The 20,585-nt window shown below is 44.4% G+C and overlaps 1 protein-coding gene across 10 annotated transcripts in view; it reads right to left on the minus strand.

Annotated features, from left to right (window-relative positions):
• Positions 1 to 473: 473 nt before the first annotated feature.
• Positions 474 to 20,585, minus strand: part of MAJIN (membrane anchored junction protein) — a 33,879-nt gene continuing 13,767 nt past the window's right edge. For 3 of the 10 annotated variants that reach the window (XM_047426796.1, XM_047426795.1, XM_047426797.1), the window contains exons 4-12: positions 17,001 to 17,046; positions 12,599 to 12,674; positions 11,987 to 12,112; positions 10,032 to 10,063; positions 9,618 to 9,826; positions 8,334 to 8,397; positions 2,818 to 2,890; positions 1,906 to 2,011; positions 474 to 817 (exon numbers count right to left, since the gene is read on the minus strand). In XM_047426796.1, the coding sequence (XP_047282752.1) occupies positions 769 to 817; positions 1,906 to 2,011; positions 2,818 to 2,890; positions 8,334 to 8,397; positions 9,618 to 9,826; positions 10,032 to 10,063; positions 11,987 to 12,112; positions 12,599 to 12,674; positions 17,001 to 17,046 (781 nt within the window). In that variant the 3' untranslated portion in view covers positions 474 to 768. Of the gene's footprint in view, positions 818 to 1,905; positions 2,012 to 2,817; positions 2,891 to 8,333; positions 8,398 to 9,617; positions 9,827 to 10,031; positions 10,064 to 11,986; positions 12,113 to 12,598; positions 12,675 to 16,286; positions 17,047 to 20,585 lie in introns of those variants that run through there. The other 7 variants (XM_024448447.2, XM_005273918.3, NM_001318808.2 and 4 more) reach the window with 6 other exon arrangements.

Consider the following 20,585-nt stretch of genomic DNA (forward strand, 5'->3'; position numbering starts at 1 on the left):
CTCCTTTGTTGTGAGCTAAAATGAGTTTCCCTACATTTCCATAGATCATTTTGGTTCTCCACGGCCACATGAGGCTAAAGTGTCTATTACAGATCAGTCCTTTAGTTGAAGGCAGCTCAGGTGGCCAGGCCTTCTCCAGGGGTGCCAACCTGGATTGACTTCCAGTTAATCTGATAAACGAATCTGCATTACTGTCAAACAGTTAAAGGGATAGAGAGGTGGGAAACATTTTGTCTATGGAGAGGCAACCATTTGGGGCCAAACTGGAACTGGGGAAGAGGTCTCTTGGGTGAGCAGGGCTCAGGACAGTGAGTCTTGAAAGACCCCATTCCCTAACCTCTGGCACAAACTCACCTACCCAAAGTGATCCTGTGAATAGTAACCAGGTAGACCTAGGGAAGTTTCATGCATTTTCTCTGTATCTTGAGGGAAGCATTTGTTCTCTTTTACTCTATTCCACTAAATTCAATCAATAACTCTTCATAAATAATTTATTGTCATTAGGATCCTAAGTGCCGAAGACAAAAGGCCTAAACCGGCCCTCAGGACATGAACATTTTAGAAAGTTCCATTCTTAATGTTTTAAATTGGGGGAAAAAATCTATTATAAAGGGGCAAAGGACACGATAAAACCACAGAGGACTCAGCATGGGGACCTCATTCCCCACGACTGAAGTGTCATAAGAAAAGGATAGAGTTGGAGGAAGAATGGCTCGGGAGGAGTCACTACAAGAGATGATCCTCTTTCCAGCGCTGCATTTGGAAGGCTCAAGAGTGGCTGCTCTTCCTGAAGAAATATCGAAACGGGAAGAGAGAGCTGCAAGAATGAGAACAGAGTAGGCTGAGACTCTATGAGGTCTCCTTCCCTTCTCCCCATTTCCCATTAGTGCTTCACTAGCTAGGGCATTTTTGCTCTGGGGAACCATTGAATGGAAATTCAAGACTGAATAGCATTTGAAAAGGTACCCAAATTAGATTATACTCAGGAGGGGGAAATAAAGAAACAGAATTGCAATGGGATGGCAGAGAGAGAGAGAGACAGAGAGAGACATTTGCTAACTGTCCTTTGCAAACACAACCTAGATTCAGAGGGGAGAATGGAAATGTTTGGTAACCAAATCATCTGAATGGCTCAAGTAAACTAAGAATAGACTTTGTTCAAGTTAATGTTTTTGTTTGGTTGGTTTTTTTGAGACAGAGTCTTGCTCTGTTGTCCAGGCTGGAGTGCAATGGCACGATCTCAGCTCACTGCAACCTCTGCCTCCCAGGTTAAAGTGATTCTCCTGCCTCAGCACCCCCAGTAGCTGGGATTACAGAACATTCCACCACATCCGGCTAATTTTATTTTATTTTATTTTTTTAATCTCGGCTCACTGCAACCTCTACCTCTCAGGTTCAAGAGATTCTCCTGCCTCAGCCTCACCTCCACCTCCCAGGTTCAAGCGATTCTCCTGCCTCAGCCTCCCTCCCAAGTAGCTGGTATCACAGGCATGTAGCACCATGCCCGGCTAATTTTGTATTTTTAGTAGAGATGGGCTTCACCATGTTGGCCAGGCTGGTCTTGAACTCCTGACCTCAAGTGATCCACCCGCCTTGGCCTCCCAAAGTGCTGGGATCATAGGCATGAGCCACCCGGCCTGGCCCAAGTTAATGTTTATGGGGCTTGGCTTTATCCTGGACACATCAGGGTGGAGGTGGGTTGTGTAAAAATAAGTAAAACACAGTCTTTATTAAATGCACAATTAGGGCTTTTGTTCTTAATCTCATTTCCATCATCTATCCTAGACATAAGTGAGAAGCCTCTGTAAGTAATCTGCTTTCTTTTCTATTCTAATTTCCCTGAAAGACTCAATGAGCCGCTCTGAGCTGGATCTCGAGTCTGATGCCGGACAGAAGCTGTCTTACCTTAGAAACCCAAAGAAGCCGGTGGCTGCTCGCTCCTTAGGTGGAGGTGAGTTGTGCTGCAGGGGTGGGACAATTCGCCCTGGCAGGCTGTGTCCCCACTCAGAATCTGTAAGGAAAACAATCAGGCAGGAGCAAGATGTTTGTCCATAGGCCGTTTTCATGTGAGTAGAAGGCCAAACACCCAGTATGAGCCAGAGGCAGTCTCACGCCAAGAGTTCTTTAAAGCCAGATGAATTGTTTGTTCTGACCTTCCCAATTTCATCTCAGCTCAGTAAGATGCTATTCTGACCTCAGAGTATTTTCAGTCAAGCTCCTGGGATATTTACACAGCTCAAGTTCCAGCCATGCACTCTGGCTGGTATGTCTTCACATAAAATGACAAGTTGTTGAAGGACTCACTGGCCTACATCCCTGTTTCTGTGATAACTGCAGTCCACACTGAATCCTCATGCTGGGTAAAAGATCAGCAAGTAGGGAGGGCAATAGCTTGACATGCATTCCCAGCCCTTGCAAAGCATCCATTTGCAACTTCAATATTAACTCTAATGCCTCAAAGGGAAGAGATCATTCTCCAACAGTACAGAAAAGGGAAACACAACCCTCTCAACATTTCTATAAAGTTTATCACCTCACTCGGAAATGTTTTGAAATAGTGAGAGCATAACTTCACTATCAGAAGCAGAGGAAGGGCATGCCCTACCTCCCTTCACTCCTTCTGGGAGCTGGGGGGCTTCTATTACTCTAGGACAGGCCCCCAGACCAGAGGATGGCTAACAAGCACCTCCACGGGAGCAAGGCACATTACCCACTGAGGGCACCCAGACTCAGCTCTGTGCTGCTCTACATATCAGAGAACTACAAGGGAAAGGGTGATTATTAAAGGAGAATAAATGGAAATTTCCCAGGACCTACCTTGTTTCTGGACATCAGTGATATCAGAGGCCAGAGTCTCCTGCAATCCTTGTTGGGTTTTTCTTTCCCTATTCTGTTAAAAAGAAGACCAAGAAAAGCCTTAAACTTTCCTCCTACACTGCATGGCAATCTGAATGCTATTTGCTGGTGAACTGATTTCATATCAGCACTGGGGCCTGGCTTCTGACTGCCTAGACAGGTTCTATATTTCTTTCCATTTCTTTCCATAGGACTGTCCTTTTTTCTTTTCTTTTTTTCTTTCTTTTTTTTTTTTTTTTTTTTTGAGACTGAATCTCGCTCTGTCACCCAGGCTGGAGTGCAGTGGCGCCATCTCAGCTCACTGCAAGCTCTGCCTCTCCGGTTCACGCCATTCTCCTCCCTCAGCCTCCTGAGTAGCTGGGACTACAGGCGCCCGCCACCATGCCCGGCTAATTTTTTGTATTTTTAGTAGAGACAGGGTTTCACCGTGTTAGCCAGGATGGTCTCGATCTCCTGACCTCATGATCTGCCTGCCTCGGCCTCCCAAAATGCTGGAATTATAGGCGTGAGCCACCGTGCCCAGCCAGGACTGTCGTTTTTTCATTTCAACATCCAAACTACTGTCCCTCTAAAACCATAAGATTTAAGAGCCAAGAATAAATCAAGCTGGGTTTAACTTATCATCCCATGTTACTGAGTACCTACTATTACCAAGGACAGAACACTGAGGTTTCAGAAATCAGGAGGACCTTAAATTTACCTTGGAGAAATGTATAATCTATGGAGCAAAATGGACATAAACTAAGTCAAGACAGTGTGATGGCCGGGCATGGTGACTCATGCCTGTAATCCCAGCAATTTGGGAGGCCAAGGCAGATGGATCATCCGAGGTCAGCAGTTCGAGACCAGCCTGGCCAACATGGTCAAACCCTGTCTCTACTAAAAATACAAAAAATCAGCCGGGCGTGGTGGCAGGCACCTGTAATCTCAGCTACTCAGGAGGCTGAGGCAGGAGAATCGCTTGAACCCAGGAGGCAGAGTGAGCCAAGGTCGCGCCATTGCATTCCAGCCTGGGGCGAGAGAGTGAGACTCCATCTCGAAAAAAAGAAAAAGAAAAACAAAGAGTGTGATAAGACCACCCAACGAATCCATATAGAGTGCTGTGGTTGCTGAAAGGACGTTAATGGAGCAGGTGGTGTTAGTCAAGGAAGGCTTCACAGGGGAAGTGATATTTGAATGGAGCCTTGATGGATGAGTGGGATGTTGTCATGACGGGGGTGAGGAGATGGTCAGTCACAGCAGGGCATTCCAGACAGGGACATGATGTATGAGGGTACAGTGCCATTAAAGAATAAATAGGATCAGCATGGCTAGAGCCAGGCATGGTAGAAACATGACTGTGGCATTAGCAACACAATATAACACAATCTTATTATTTCTCCATGTGCTGCTGCTTTATAGAAATTTCTTTGTACTCTGAAGAGGACATTTTACAACCTGATTCCAGGCCCACAACATTTTCCAGTAAACACCCTGATAATCAGAAATATGGTTATTATATTTTCTTTGGGAATCTCTGCCACTGGCTACTACTCTCTTCACCCAGTCAGAACCTAGGGGCTTTACCCAGCAGTGATGGAGCTCCTCAAGCTGTTTTGCTGGTGAAGAGTTCTTTTTTTTTTCTTTTGGGTGTGCAGTTCTGTGAATTTTTTTCCCGTTTTTTAGAATTTATTTTTTATTTCAATAGGTTTTTGGGGAGTGAGTGGTGTCTGGTTACATGAATGAGTTTTTTTAATAGTGATTTCTGAGATTTTGGTGCACCCATCATCCAAGTAGTGTACACTATACCCAATGTATAGTCTTTTATCCCTCACCCCCTTCCCACCCTTTCCCCCAAGTCCCCAAAGTCCATTGTATCATTCTTAAGCCTTTGCGTCCTCATAGCTTAGCTCCCATGGCGAAGAGTTCTACAGCAAGGGGCTGCAGACTATAAAGGTAGGTTCTGGGAGGCAGAGGCATGGCAAGTCTCTAGAAAAGCTAGGACTAGCCCCCATCCTAAGAATAAACTTCGGGTTAGAATGGCAGATATCTCTGAACTAAGCCTCCTCACAAACCGCTCAAATCCCAGACCACATGGGCAGCCACCGAAGTCATATTCCTATAAAAGCAACAGGGAACTCTGGGGAGGAAGAAGACCATTCTTACCTTTTCTATAGAGAGTGGAGATGGAATTTAGAGGGCCAAGCTCTGGTTTCTGGTTTGAGGGAATGATTCTTACAAATTTAATGAAACTATGGTTTGGGGCTTTAATTCTGCTGCATACAGTAGCCCTAATGAAAGCATCTATTAAGGGTGGGAGGAGGAACAGGAGGGCAAAGGCCCTGGGACAGAGGTACAGCCTACCGCTGAACCAGGGAAAAGTCTCCTCACAAGACACTGTAGCCTTTTTGTGATCTCCCAAAATCTTGAGAGATGTCTTCTCAAGAAAAAGTCATAAGAGAGAGAAAACATTATAGCTGGAATTCAGACTGAAGGTATCATCTGGGACCTCCATCAGAACATAATACTCTGAAAACCTGATGCAAGACTGTCCTCCGTATGTTCAGGACCAGATCTGTTTACAAGTGCAGTTCGAACAGATATAGCAAAACAACAACAACAACAAAATGCGACGTGCAGTTACTCTGTTTCATTTCTGGGCCATTCATCTGCTCCCTCCCATTTTTTATCCTTCCAAAGTCTGGATCTCTAGATCTGGGACCTGAAGTAACAAAGGCAAGGGGGTTTTCTCTTCCTTCCCATTGTCCCTAAACACTTCTTATGAAACAGAGGTACGTGTTATATTCTTCTAAGCTTTCGCCACACAGGCTCCCAATGTGTTCAGACACGCACATGCACAGTGACTGTGATCCTACACCCTAACTCCCTGCAAAGGGGGCAGAACATATTAAGCAATGGACCATAGGAGCAAATTCAATTTTTCCAGCTCAAGTGACTTACACTGAGAGTCACTGTGATCACCTTAATTTAGGAGAAATCATCTTCCTGGGAACAGGGTCCATGATGGTGAATGTCTTTAGGCCTTGAGTCAAAATCAATAAACATGTTCCTTTTACTAGAGTTTTTTCTAAAGCCAGAATCAGGTTGAAAAGGTAATTATGTTGAGTAAGAAGCTGTGGGTACTGTTCTTGAGGGAGATGATGTGTCAAACTAAGAATAGGAAGATACAAAGGGTAGAGAGCGAGGAAAATGTTCCTTTAATAGTAATTATCTTGGTTGTATAAAGTGTCTTTGTTCTCCAGAGCTTCAAGTACTCCTCATGTACTTTCTCATTTCTTTTTCTTACCCCCTAAAGGATGGGAGGCATAGAAGGGGTTGACTATCTGCCCAAAATCACTCAGTGGGCCAGCTGGCCACAGCACAACTGGGGCCCTGGACTCTGCCCCTGCACACAGAGGCAGAGGTATAAATCCCCAAGGATACACTCCTTCCCCAACTAAATTACAAGCTCCTAGAAAAAAGAAATCAGGGTTTACATATGTTTGTGTGTGCCCCAGCACCCAACACAATGCCTTGTGAGCAGGAGACAGAACAATCCTTTAGAAATGAAAATAACTTCAGTTTTCTACTTAAAAATGTTTTACAGAATTCCTGTGATCTTGAAGGTAGTCTCAAGGCTTTTCATGATACAGTCCATTCGGACTTCTCCAGTAACATTTCTCAGCACTGGACTTTAAGCTACTCTGAGAATCCTTCCCTCCTGGCCACTTTATGCTCCCTTTGTATCCTGTGCTTCCTTCTACCCCTGCACATGGCACATCTATCAGTAATTGTCTGCCTAACTGTACACTGTTGGTGTATCCCTGGTACTTGGCACATAGTAGACACTCAATGAAAATTTGTTGAATGCATTCTGGGCAACATGGCAAAACCCCATCTCTACAAAAAATACAAAAATTAGCCAGGTGTGATGACACACGCCAGTAGTCCTAGCTACTCCAGAGGCTGAAATGAGAGGATCACTTGAGCTTGAGAGGTGGAGGTTGCAGTGAGCTGAGATTGCACCACTGCACTCCAGCCTGGGCAACAGAGTGTGACCCTGTCTCAAAAATGAAAAAAAAATTTGTTGAATGAATGCACATGTAAATGTTTACTCGATAACTGCTCATGTTATGAGTCCTGGGAAGGTGAAGAAAGTGAGTTGTTTGTGTTTGGATACTTAGGGTCACAGCAACTTTGGAGACATAGAGAAAAAAAGGAAGGATCTTTAAGGCATGGATACCAGCTAACAGCTATTTAAAGAGGGGAGGAAAAGAAAAAGGTCACTATTTTAGAGAATATATAGAAAAGAAGTCCTGAAATGGAGGAGGGGTATCAGATATATGAATATCTAAATGGGAAACATACCCCATAAATGAAATCTAATTCCATCAGGGGCCAGCCCTTCACTGCTCTAGAAGTTTTCTCTTACCAGTTATCAGTGCTGATACATGCCTAGCTCATTTGTTAAAACTAGATGTTCCGGCTGGGCTCGGTGGCTCACGCCTGTAATCCCAGCACTTTGGGAGGCCGAGGCGGGTGGATCACGAGGTCAGGAGATCGAGACCATCCTGGCTAACACGGTGAAACCCCGTCTCTACTAAAAAATACAAAAAATTAGCCAGGCGTGGTAGCACACGCCTGTAGTCCCAGCTACTCGGGAGGCTGAGGCAGGAGAATGGCGTGAACCCAGGAGGCAGAGCTTGCAGTGAGCCGAGATCGCACCACTGCACTCCAGCCTGGGCGACAGAGCGAGACTGTGTCTCAAAACAAACAAACAAACAAAAAAACAAAAACTAGATGTTCCTAGACTCAGACCCCAGTGTAGATGAAGGCAAAAAGTTTCCTAAAGGGAAAATTCTATACTGGATCCCACCTCAATTCTATACAGACATATTTTCTTATTTCAACTACAGAGTACAGGTAGCTTTTTAAGCTGAGAAGAGAGGATTTCTTTTTTTTAAGATGGAGTCTCACTCTGTTGCCCAGGCTGGAGTGCAGTGGCACGAACTCAGCTCACTGCAACCTCCGCCTCCTGGGTTCAAGTGATTCTCCTGCCTCAGCCTCCCGAGTAGCTGGGATTACAGGTGCCCACCACCACACTTGGCTAATTTTTTGTATTTTTAGTAGAGACTGGGTCTCACCAGGTTGGCCAGCCTGGTCTTGAACTCCTGACTTCAGGTGATCCGCCTGCCTCAGCCTCCCAAAATGCTGGGATTACAGGCATGAGCCACCGTACCAGGCAAAGAGAGGACTTTTTAACAAAAAAATTCATCGATGCGTGTATTATGCAGCCACTTTGGGATGCGTTGTGGCAAGGGCATAATAGTTGAATGTTATTCTGCAGACAGTGAAACCCAAGAATGAGTTCAGTCAATTCAATCTGCACGAAAAACCAAGATGTGCTGGTAACCGGAATCCTGACTTGTAACAGAACAGGAATAGCTAATAGCCTTGAAGGCTCCATTTTAGTACTAAGGCTCCATTTTAGTACTTACTCTCCTGGTTTCCACAGGGGGCTTCTTTTTGCTGGGGCCTTGGCTGGAAGTCCCTATCTTGGCCCTGAGGTGGGGGGAAAATATGCAGGAAATGTTACTGGCAGAGGCAATATCACTACATTCAAGCAAATGTGGCCCAAATGAATATTTCAGCAGGTTGGCTATTGTTATACTACTCCTGGCTGGCAGAATAAATTGGGTGGCCAAATTTTCTTTGGGTGCTGCTTTACTTCACAGCAGAATCCCAGTTTGAGACACTTAGGGATCTGGGGTTTGAGAAAGTGAAAATGTGATTGACAGCAGGTATCAGATTTTGAAATACTTGACTGTGCATCAAAACCCAGAGAAAGGGAAGATCTGAGACCTCATTTGCATGGAAAATTCAGTCGAATGGAACAAAGCAAAGCTTCATACCTCCAAGTACCCTCACATTCCACCTGGCTTGGAAAGGAGCTCCCTACCTCTTCACCTACATGTGCATCTGGAGAGCATGGGGTCAGCTTCCTAGTGGTCTACCTTATTTCTCCTGTATGTCTAGGGGTCCACAGAGTCCCAGGAAAAGGGTAGCTGTTCTCTGTGGGCCTAGGGTGGAAGCATCTTGGGCTAGGGAACAAACCACACCTTGGATTATTCCAGCAGCATTCTTATTAGCTTTCTAGGGTGCTAATAAGAATGACTGAATTGTCTTACTGACTCATTTTGTTCCTGATAGAGAATTGAAAGAAGAACATAAGTAGCCTCCACAATAAAAATATGTTAGGGATGTACTCAACATTCCCCCTAATATCACAGCACCCCACCCAATGATTGATACATACCCTCTTGCAAACATTTATATTTTAGTCTGGACTGCCTCTTAAGGTTCCAAAAGCTAACTGCTCACTGGGTAAAATAGAATTATATTTTATTTGTTCTTACTCCTTCAAGAGTTTCCCTATGTTTTTGTAAATATTCTGAGACTTCATAAGTCCTGTGCCTTCTGGTGATATTAACATAGTAAGTATTATTGAATGTGCTGAATTCAATTGTTTAGATCGGACTGTATTTCTTCTTAGCCTTCATCTTGAAAAGAAAAATCGTACTTTGCTGAAAAAGGGACTGTGTTCAAATTATATTGTAAATATTAACTTGCTCCCTTTCCTTAGTCCACCCACTGTAATAGGCAGATACTGATGAAGTCCTGCAAAAGAAAGTGACTCGCCCAAGGACAGGATCAACCAACAGTAATAGCTGGCAAAGCCTAACTAGGACGCAGGAGCGAGCCTCTCTCCCCACACCACTGACCTGTCCAGCCCTGGCCTGCTGGGGGAGCTGGGCTCGTCCATGTGTTTTCGTTTCCTCATCACAGCTCCTACTGCTTTCTTCTCAACTGGGACCTTCAGGAGGAAGCAGATGCCTGTGACTCCTCCTTTCCAGAGTTGCTCACAGTTCATGAAGGCACAGTGAAGAAAACTCCCCATCCTTAAACTGCCAAAGGCAACTTTTAACACCAGCTTTGCAAGTAAGAATAGACATTCTGTTAGAGACATGGTCTCAGAAATCTAGCCAAGGGGGAAAATATGGTCTTATGTTTACAATTCTGACTGGACCTGGGCAGCAACTGAGGGCAAAGTAAGGGGAAGAGGCAAGAGCAGGACTTTTTGGAAAAAAGAAGGTGATAAAGGCAATTTTCATTTTGTACAGAAAAGGCAAACTTACCAACCCAAGAGGACTGTCACTTATTGGTTTCCCTACAATAGGAAATTTGAGTGTCATAATAGATTTAAGACTTTTTTTTTTTTTTTTTTGGAGATTAAGTCTCTCTCTGTCACCCAGACTGGAGTGCAGTGGTGCGATCTCGGCTCACTGCAACCTCCGCCTCTTGAGTTCAAGCGATTCTCCTCCCTCAGCCTCCCGAGTAGCTGGGACTACAGGCACATGCCACCACACCTGGCTAATTTTTGTATTTTTAGTAGAGAGAGGGGTTTCACCACGTTGGCCAGGTTGGTCTCAAACTCCTGACCTCAGGTGATCCACCTGCCTTGGCCTCCCAAAGTGAGCCACCAGGCCTAGCCACGATGCTGTTTTACCTGGACTTCTGGCTACTATTTATTTCTTGGAACTGACCCCAGACAAAGACTCCTCATGTGCCCTTCTCCCTTCTACCTGGTACTATTTTCCCTAAAAATAGTGTCTTCAAACTCTCTTCCTCCCCTGTTTCAGAATGATTGTAATCTACAAGCTAGAAAGGGTTTGAAAAGGGAGGGGACGATCCTTACTAAAAAAGAAAAAAGGTAGAACTTCAGCTACCTGTGACAAATGAAAAGGGGAGATATTTTGAGGCAAGGCCTTTGCACCCCTTTTCTTTTCTTTCTTTTTTGAGACAGAGCTAGCTCTGTTGCCCAGGCAGAAGTGCAGTGGTGTGATCTTGGCTCACCAGAACCTCTGCCTCCCAGGTTCAAGCAATTCTCCTCCCTCAGCCTCCAGAGTAGCTGGGACTACAGGCATGCACCACCACCATGTCGGGCTACATCATATATATATATATATATATATATATATATATATATATTTTTTTTTTTTTTTTTTTTTTTTTTTTTTTTTTTCAGATGGCATCTTGCTCTGCCGCCCAGGCTGGAGTGCAGGGGCGTGATCTCAGCTCACTGCAATCTCTGCCTCCCGGGTTCAAGCGATTCTTCTGTTTCAGCTTCCTGAGTAGCTGGGATTAGAGGCGCACACCACCACGCCTGGCTAAATTTATTTTTAGTAGAAATGGGGTTTCACCACGTTGGTCAGGCTGGTCTTGAACTCCTGGCCTCAAGTGATCCTCTTGCCTCGGCCTCCCAAAGTACTGGGATTACAGGCATAAGCCACCATGCCCAGCCTGCACCCCTTTTCAAATCAAAAGGGTAGGTGTTTACTTGTCCCTCAATCAACAAAAACACCCATGGCCTTCAGAGAATAAAAATTTGGGCTAGGCACAGTGGCTCATGCCTGTAATCCCAGTGTTTTGGGAGGCCGAGGTGGGAGGATCGCTTGAGCCCAGGAGTTTGAGACCCAACGGTGCAATATAGTCAGACCCCTGTCTCTACTAAAAAAAAAAAAAAAAAAATTAGCCGGGGATGGTCGCACACACCTATAGTCCTAGCTACTTGGGAAGCTGAGGCAGGAGGATCACTTGAGCCCAGGAGTTAGAGGTTACAGTGAACTATGATCACACCACTGTACTCCAGCCTGGGTGACAGAGTGAGACCCTGTCTAAATAAAAATAAAATTGGGAGATACCTTTAAGATAGCTCTAAAGTGAAAATCATAGAATTCTCTCTAATGGAAGGGTTTATATAATAGTTATCTTTCATTCAGTGATTAAGTCAGGCTTTGTACTTTTCATCTACTACTATTTAATCCTTTTAACAACTCAATGATATAGGTAGTAATATTATTCTTCACCATTTCACAAGGGAGGCATAGAAAGATTAATTTATCTAACTTCACACAGCCATTAAGTGGCAGGACCACCAGTATTTGAACCGGTCAGTCTGGCCTGGAGCACATGATCCTGACCTGTGCACTGTATGGCTGGAGCCTAATCTGGTAGCCCCTTTCGCGATACCTAGCTGGCACAGCTAAACCATTTTCTTCTCTGCCATCCACATTCACATCATTCCACTTACCAGGTGACAGGTTTTCATGGAACCATTTCATCTCCACATATAGAGTAAAAACAAATGGGTAGGGGATCAAGATAATTTCCCCATGTTTGAATTTCAGGTGGGAAACTCTCTCCCATTTGCTTTTATCTGGAAAATGGTGCTAAGGAGTAAGGAAAGATGCCAGTATGCATTCCTAAGTACTATTTTAGGGATGAGACTCTCTCTCCTTCCCCTGACCTACCCTCCAAACTGCCTATGGTTTTGCTACGTCCATTTGAGTCTAAAATGTGAGCTGTAGCTCATTTCCAGCCAGAAAAGAAAGGATAGGCTGGGCGCAGTGGCTCATGGCTGTAATCCCAGCACTTTGGGAGGCCGAGGCGGGTGGATCACCTGAGGTCAGGAGTTCAAGACCAGCCTGGCCAACATGGTGAAATAGCGCCTCTACTAAAAATACCAAAATTAGCCGGGTGTGGTGGCATGTGCCTGTAATCCCAGCTACTGGAGAGGCTGAGGCAAGAGAATCGCTTGAACCTGGGAGGCTGAGGTTGCAGTGAGCCAAGATCATGCCATTGCACTCCAGCCTGGGTGACAGAGCAAGACTCCATCTCAAAAAAAAAAAAAAAAAAAGGATACAGGGAAATACAATGAAGTGTTCTGTAGCAAAGGGCTGAAGATTGTCCAAGTTTCCCAAGACCACGCGGACAGAATCCTGAAAAACATATTTGAAATGACTTTAACACTGTTGAGTCTCAGCCAGTCTTTGTTTATATTTGTCACTGCTACTCACATACCCTATACACTATCAAAACTGAACTATTTGCTGTTCCTTTAACACGTGTTCTGATTCTCCATTTCTTTTTCTTTCTTTCTTTCTTTTTTTGAGAGAGTCGTGCTTTGTGGCCCAGGCTGAAGGGCAGTTGCATGATCTCTGCTCACTGCAATCTCTGCCTCCTGGGCTCAAGTGATCTTCCCACCTCAGCCTCCCCAGTAACTGGGACTACAGGCGTGCACCACCACACCCATCTAATTTTTTTATTTTTTGTAGAGATGTGGTTTCACCATGTTGCCCAGGATGGTCTTGAACTCCTGGGCTCAAGTGCTCTGCCCTCCTCGGTCTCCCAAAGTGCTGGGATTACAGGCATGAGCCACTGCACCCAGCCCGCTTCTCCATTTCTATGCTTTTGCATAGAAAGGGAATTTCTCTTCCTGAAATGCCCTTTCCACCCATCAGCACTTGTCCAAATCCGACCTATCCTTTCAGGCATAGTTCAAAAGGCATCTCCTCCAGAAATCTTTCCCTGATTTACCAAGTTATAATTGTTAGTATCAAACTTCACAGTAGTTAGCCTGGAGTCTTTACTACATTCCACATACAAATGTTTTATATTCCTTACTGGGAGATCTACTTGAAGTAGAATATACACCTGACTTATCTTAGTATCCCTTCTATGGTGTCTACCATCATGAATAATGCATAACAAGTCCTCACTAAATGTACATTGAATGAATGAATAATACTGGTATTAACTGATATACAGTATTTTGCTTTTGTTTAAGTCAAACCTTTTTTTCACTCACTTTAAATTTTAATCGATTAGTCCCTAATTAAGCTATATGCTTATTAGTCTATACTAATTAATTTGGCATCATAAAGACTACTAAATTTCTGTGGGGAAAAAAGTCTCAATTTCAATCCCAGCCTTGTCATTTCACCCTAAGCTTCAGTGTTCTCATGTTTGTGTTCAAAGAAGATAGAAACTGTGGCCAGCGCAGTGGCTCATGCCTGTCATCCCAGCACTCTGCGAGGCCAAGGCAGGTGGACTGCTTGAGCCCGGGAGTTCAAGACTGGCCTGGGCAACATGGCAATACTCCATCTCTACAAAAAATACAAAAATGAGTTGGGTGTGGTGGCACACGCCAGTAGTCCCAGCTACTTGTGAGGCTGAGGTGGGAGGGTCACCTGAACCTGGGAGGTCGAGGCTGCAGTGAGCTATGATTGCATCACTGCCCTGTAGCCTAGGCAACAGAGCAAAACCTTGTCTCAAAAAAAAAAAAAAAAAAAAAAGATATTGTGTCTTGTTTATCTTTGTATTCTCCATAGTAGCACAGTGTCTAGCTTATAATTATACTGGCTAATATTTATTGAGTAATTACTATGGGAAGTGTTACTGTTTTTTGTTTTTTTGAGACAGAATCTCGTTGTGTCACCCAGGCTGGAGTGCAGCCGCACAATCTTGGCTCACTGCAACCTCCACCTCCTGGGTTCAAGCAGTGCTGTGCCTCAACCTCCCAAGTAGCTAGGATTATAGGCACACACCACCACGCCCAGCTAATTTTTTGTATTTTTAGTAGAGATGGGGTTTCGCCATGTTGTCCAGGCAGGTCTCAAATCCCTGAGCTCAGGCAATCTGCCCACCTTGGCCTCCCAAAGTGCTAGGATTACAGGCATGAGCGACCACGCCCGGCCTTTTTTTTTGAGATGAAGTTTTGTTCTTCTTGCCCAGGCTGGAGTCTGGAGTGCAATGGCTTGGTCTCCGCTCACTGCAACCTCTGCCTCCAGGGTTCAAGCGATTCTCCTGCCTCAGCCTCCCAAGTAGCTGGGATTACAGGTGCCTGCCACCACACCTGGCTAACTTTTGTATTTTTGGTAGAGATGGGGTTTCACTATGTTGGCCAGGCTGGTCACAAACTCCTGACCTCAGGTGATCCACCCGCCTTGACCTCCCAAAGTGCTGGGATTACAGGCGTGAGCCACAGAGCCCGGCTGTGTTTTTATACATATTAATTAATTTAACTCTCACAAAAACCCTGTGAGGCAATTCTGTTATTCCCATTTTACAGACGGGGAAACAGACAAAGAGAGGTGAAAAAATGTAGTCTAGGTTACATAACTAGAAATAGCAGGGCCAAGATCTGAACCAAGGCAGCAGGGTTCCAGAGCTCCTAGTCTTAACCCCTAGGCTAGCCTGCTTCTCAGTAAATGTTTTCTTTTTTTGTTTTTGAGATGGAGTCTCACTCTGTTGCCCAGGCTGGAGTGCAGTGGTGCGATCTCGGCTCACTGCAACCTCCGCCTCCCAGGTTCAAGCAATTCTCCTGCCTCAGCCTCCTGAGTAGCTTGGACTACAGGTACGTGCCACCACACCCAGCTAATTTTTGTATTTTTAGTAGAGACGGGGTTTCGCCATGTTGGCCAGTCTGGTCTTAAACTCCTGACCTCAGGTGATCCACCTGCCTCGGCCTCCCAAAGTGCTGGGATTAAAGGTGTGAGCCACAGCGCCCAGCCTCAGTAAGTGTTTTCTAAATGAAGAAAAGAGAATGATAACATCTGACCCCAAACTAGTGAGCATAAGAGAAAGATGCATATGCATATCAAATGCACCTTGGAAATATGACATACGTTGAATGTAAATACTCTCGAGCTACTAATTATTGAGCTACTGTGTGGCAGGCATTGCAGACATCTATTTCTAATCCTCAGTCTTGAAACAGGCCTTCTTTATTAACCTCATTTGACAGGTAAGGAAACAGACTCAGGGAGGGTAGGTACTTTGCCCGAAGTCAAACTGTGAATGGCAGAACACTTCTCATAGTAATTACTCAATAAATATTAGCTATTATAATTAGAAGCTAGACACTATCCTAGTATGGAGACTTCAAATCCAGGTTTGACTGGCTCTAAAGTCTGTGTTCCCTCCTCTCTGTTATGCTTCCGTGAGCTTTTCACTGCTCAGGTTAACTGAAGCAAAGTGAAATAAAGCCTGCTCTGCTCATAATTAAAATAGGTAGAATGGCCGGGTGCAGTGGCTCACACCTGTAATCCCAACACTTTGGGAGGCCGAGGCTGGTGGATCACGAGGTCAAGAGATCGAGACCATCCTGGCCAACATGATGAAACCCCGTCTCTACTAAAAATACAAAAATTAGCTGGGCGTGGTGGTGCACATCGGTAGTCCCAGCTGCTTGGGAGGCTGAGGCAGGAGAATCGCTGGAACTTGGGAGATGGAGGTTGCAGTGAGCCAAAATCGTGCCACTGCACTCCAGCCTGGTGACAGAGCGAAACTCCATCTCAAAAAACAAACAAACAAACAAACAAAAAACCAGGTAGAACATTTTCTTGGTCCTATGTTAAAATAACTTATTCATAATGATATCCTTGAGGGTCCTGCAAGATCCTAATGTATCTTTTAACACTTAGCCAAAGAGGTACCTTCTTAAGGGTATGACTCAGTTTTGGTTTCACAGAGTTTTGTGTTTAAGTGTATTTAATTGCTTTGAAATGTGGAGGCATATGTCTTAAGAAATCACAATAGTCACAAATTACCGAATTGTGAAGTCAGAAGAGGAAAAGCTAGTTTAGACCTCTCATTTTCCAAATGAGGCAATTAAGATCCAAGTTGATATATGATTTGCCAACGGTCACACAGCTAAGTGGTGGCTATGCCAGGACTGGAATCCAGGGCCAACCCCCAGAACTCTAACTCCTTGTCCATTGCTTCCACCAATTTGTAAAGTTGATCACCTGCTCAGTCTTCTTCTGTAGGAAAACCTAAAGCTAGAGGAACCGGGTAGAAAGGAATGAAAATGAAGTCGGAATAAGGCAATTGCAAATGTTGCCAATTTAAATGAAGACACAGCAGCCTTGTCTGTGTATTTACAGTCGAGTTTCCTGAACGTCAAGTACCAGGCAGTGGTTGGGATGGTGAGGTTTCCCAGAGCCCTGGAAGGAGGCAGTCCTCCGGAATCTTTCTCTATGCCAGCTGCAACAAAAGAGAGCTGCCCAAGGCTGGAAACTGGTGAAAACAAAAAGCTCTCAGCCTCAAAGGTGCTGACATTTCAACTAGGAAAACTGAGAAAGAATACAGGCTTTAAATTCCCATGGAAAAACATAAAGTTCCTTTGCAAAGGAGATGTAGCAGGAGGAAGCCAAGTTATCAAGTGGAGGTTGTGACTCAGTTTGTAGGAAATAATTAAAACCTGAATGTGGATGCATCCTTAAAGAGTAACTTTTCCAGAAGTCGTATGCTTCTTTCCCTACCTCCAGCTCCTGGGTGATGACTTCCTTATTTTCTATCTCTTCTCCTCTAGAAGGTAAACAGACAAGAGACAAGTAAGACATGAAGGAAAGCTCTGGAGAGAGTAGACTCTACTAGGGCAAAAATAACACTTCCACTGAGCTAAAGAAACATGACATAAGTAAAACTGTGTAAGCTGACCCAGTGCTCATGGGGAAGAAGTGATCACCTAGGTGGCGTGGTCTGAACATTGGTATAAAATGACTTCTCAACCTGCCAAGACCTGAAATTCCCACTGTGAAAGTTAATCATTGGTTACAACAGTTGTACTTTAAGTGTGCTTTGGGGACCCTTTCAATGGGTCTTCAAGGGTAAAACTATTTTCATAATAATACTAAGGTATTATTTGCCTTTCTCACTGTGTTAATATTTGTAACCATGATTGCAAAAGCAATGGTGGGCAAAATTGCCAATGCCTTAAAACAAATCTAGCCAGTTGCACTAGGCTGTACTATCAGTCAAAGAAATCTTTACTGCTGCATAGGAAAAAAAAAAAATCCAGTTTCACTGAATATCCTTGAGGAAGCAGAAAAAAAAAGCAATCATTTTATAAAATCTCAATCTTTAACTACATGTCTCTTTAAATGTTATGTGATAAAACACGAAGTATGCATAAAGCGCTTCTGCTGCATACCAAAATATGATAGTTATTTTAGGGAAACTCACTTGTGTGACTGTTTAAGCTGCAAACTGAACTGTCTGCTTTTCTTCATGGAATATTTTACTTGAATGATCAGCTAACAGACAAACTATGGTTGTTATTCATACTTGGAAGTTTGACAGACACTTTCTTAAAAATCAATAAAATAGGCATGTCAACTCAAGGAAAAGAACTGACAATACTTGTTGTCAACAATAAATTTTGGGCTTTCAAGTGAAAATTTAAATTTTGGAAAATTTCCGTCCACCATTTTGAGTTTGACAGTTTCCAAATACGTCAACACTTTTAAGACTGTGGTGATATTAACAAATATTTTTCGATACTGTATAATGAAATGTATCAATATTTGGAGGATGTGCATAATTCAGTGAACCAAAATATTCCAAATGACCAGTGAAACACATCATGTTACAAAATCATCCTAGGTCAGGCCAGGCGCAGTGGCTCACGCCTGTTAATCCCGGCGCTTTGGGAGGCCAAGGCAGGTGGATCACCTGAGGTCAGGAGTTCGAGACCAGCCTGGCCAACGTGGTGAAACCCTGTCTCTACTAAAAATACAAAAAAGGCCCGGTGCGGTGGCTTACGCCTGTAATCCCAGCACTTTGGGAGGCCGAGGTGGGTGGATTACCTGAGGTCGGGAGTTTGAAACCAGCCTGATCAACATGGAGAAACCCCATCTCTACTAAAAATAAAAAATTAGCTGGGCATGGTGGTGCATGCCTGTAATCCTAGCTACTTGGGAGGCTGAGGCAGGAGAATTGCTTGAACCGGGAGGCAGAGGTTTTGGTGAGCTGAGATTGCACCATTGCACTCCAGCCCGGGCAACAAGAATGAAACTCCATCTCAAATAAATAAATAAATAAATAAAAATAAAAATACAAAAAATTAGCTGGACGTGGTGGCGGGCGCCTGTAATTCCAGTTACTTGGGAGGTTGCAGTAGGAGAATCACTTCAACCCGGGAGGTGGAGGTTGCAGTGAGCCAAGATCGCACCATTGCACTCCAGCTTGGGTGACAAGAGTGAAACACGGTCTCAAAACAAAACAAAAACAAAAATCATCCTAGGTCAAATATTCATTCAAAGAACAACAAAGACCAGTGGATTTTAATGTAACAGAGTTCAAAAAGTTCATGACATAATTTCAGATTCCACATTGCAACTAATCTTAAAAATAACTACCATTAAAAAAAAAACAAACCCAAACTACGATTTGTCCAGTTTTGTCACAGGGTCAAAGAATATCCACAATGATCTGAGAGGGCTACTAATATAGTCCTACCTTTCCAAACTACAAATACATATAAGCTGTTTTTTTTTTTTTTTTTTTTGAGATGTTGTTTCGCTCTTGTTGCCCAGGCTGGAGTGCAATAGCGCAATCTCCGCTCACTGCAACCTCCGCCTCCCGGGTTCAAGCGATTCTCCTGCCTCAGCCTCCCAAGTAGCTGGGATTACATGCACCCGCCATCACGCCTCGCTAATTTTTATATTTTTAGTAGAGATGGGGTTTCACCATGTTGGCCAGACTGGTCTCAAACTCCTGACCTCAGAAGATCCGCCTGCCTCGGCCTCCCAAAGTGCTGGGATTACAGGCGTGAGCCACCGCGCCTGGCCTGATTTTTTTTTTCTCTCTTTTTGAAGTTGAGACAAGGTCTCACTCTGTTCCCCAGGCTGGAGTACAGTGGTGCAGTCATGGCTACCTGCAGCCTCAACTCCCTGGGGCCAACCGATTCCTCCTGCCTTAGCCTTCCAAGCAGCTGGGATCACAGGTGCAAACCACCATGTCCAGCTAATTTCTTTTATTTTTTGTAGAGATGGGGTCTCACTTTGTTGCCCAGGCTGATCTCAAACTCCTACGCTCAAGCAATCCTCCCACTTGAGCCTCCCAAAGTGCTGGGATTACAAGAGTGAGCCACTGCACCTAGCCAAAAGTTCCCTTCGATTTCTAGTTTATTGTTTTGTTTTGCTTTTTTGAGACAGTCTCACTCTGTTGCACAGGCTGGAGTGCAGCGGCGCGATCTGCTCACTGCAGCCTCTGCCTCCCAGGTTGAACTGATTCTCCTGTCTCAGCCTCCCGAGTAGCTGGGACTACAGGTCTGCACCACCATGCTCAGCTAATTTTTTTATTTTTAGTAGAGACAGGGTTTCACCATGTTGACCAGGCTGCTCTTGAACTCCTGACTTCAGGCGATCTGCCTGACTTGGCCTCCCAAAGTGCTGGTATTACAGATGTGAGCCACTGAACCCAGCTGTTTTTATCATGAAAAGGTGAGATGCTGGGTTTGATCAAATGCAGTGCAGTGGCAAGATCTCGGCTTACTGCAACCTCCACCTCCCGGGTTCAAGCGATTCTCCTGCCTCAGCCTCCTGAATAGCTGGGATTACAGGCATGAGCCATCTTGCCTGGCTCACTAAATATAACTTTAATAATACCGTATTTGTTGCATATATTATTCTTAAATTAATAAACACACTGCTTTAAATTTTTGCTGTGATTTTTTTTTTTTAAGACAGAGTTTCACACTGTTGCTTGGGCTGGAGTGCAGTGGGACCATCCCGGCTCACTGCAACCTCCGTCTCCCGAGTTCAAGCAATTTTCCTGCCTCAGCCTCCTGGTTAGCTGGGATCACAGGTGCCTGCCACTATGCTCAGCTATTTTTTTTTATTTTTGGTAGAGACGGGGTTTCACCATGTTGGCCAGGCTGGTCTCGAACTCCTGACCTCATGATTCACCCCCCCGCCCCACCTCGGCCTCCCAAAGTGCTGGGATTACAGGCGTGAGCCACTGTGCCTGGCCAAATTTTTGCTTTAATTTTTATGACAAATATTGACAGATTAATCAAAAGCTCTTTAGGGTCCTTAATAATTTTAAAGAGTGCAAGGTGGGTG

This window comes from Homo sapiens, chromosome 11 (genome assembly GCF_000001405.40).
Source record: "Homo sapiens chromosome 11, GRCh38.p14 Primary Assembly".
In the NCBI taxonomy this organism is placed as follows: Eukaryota; Metazoa; Chordata; class Mammalia; order Primates; family Hominidae; genus Homo; species Homo sapiens.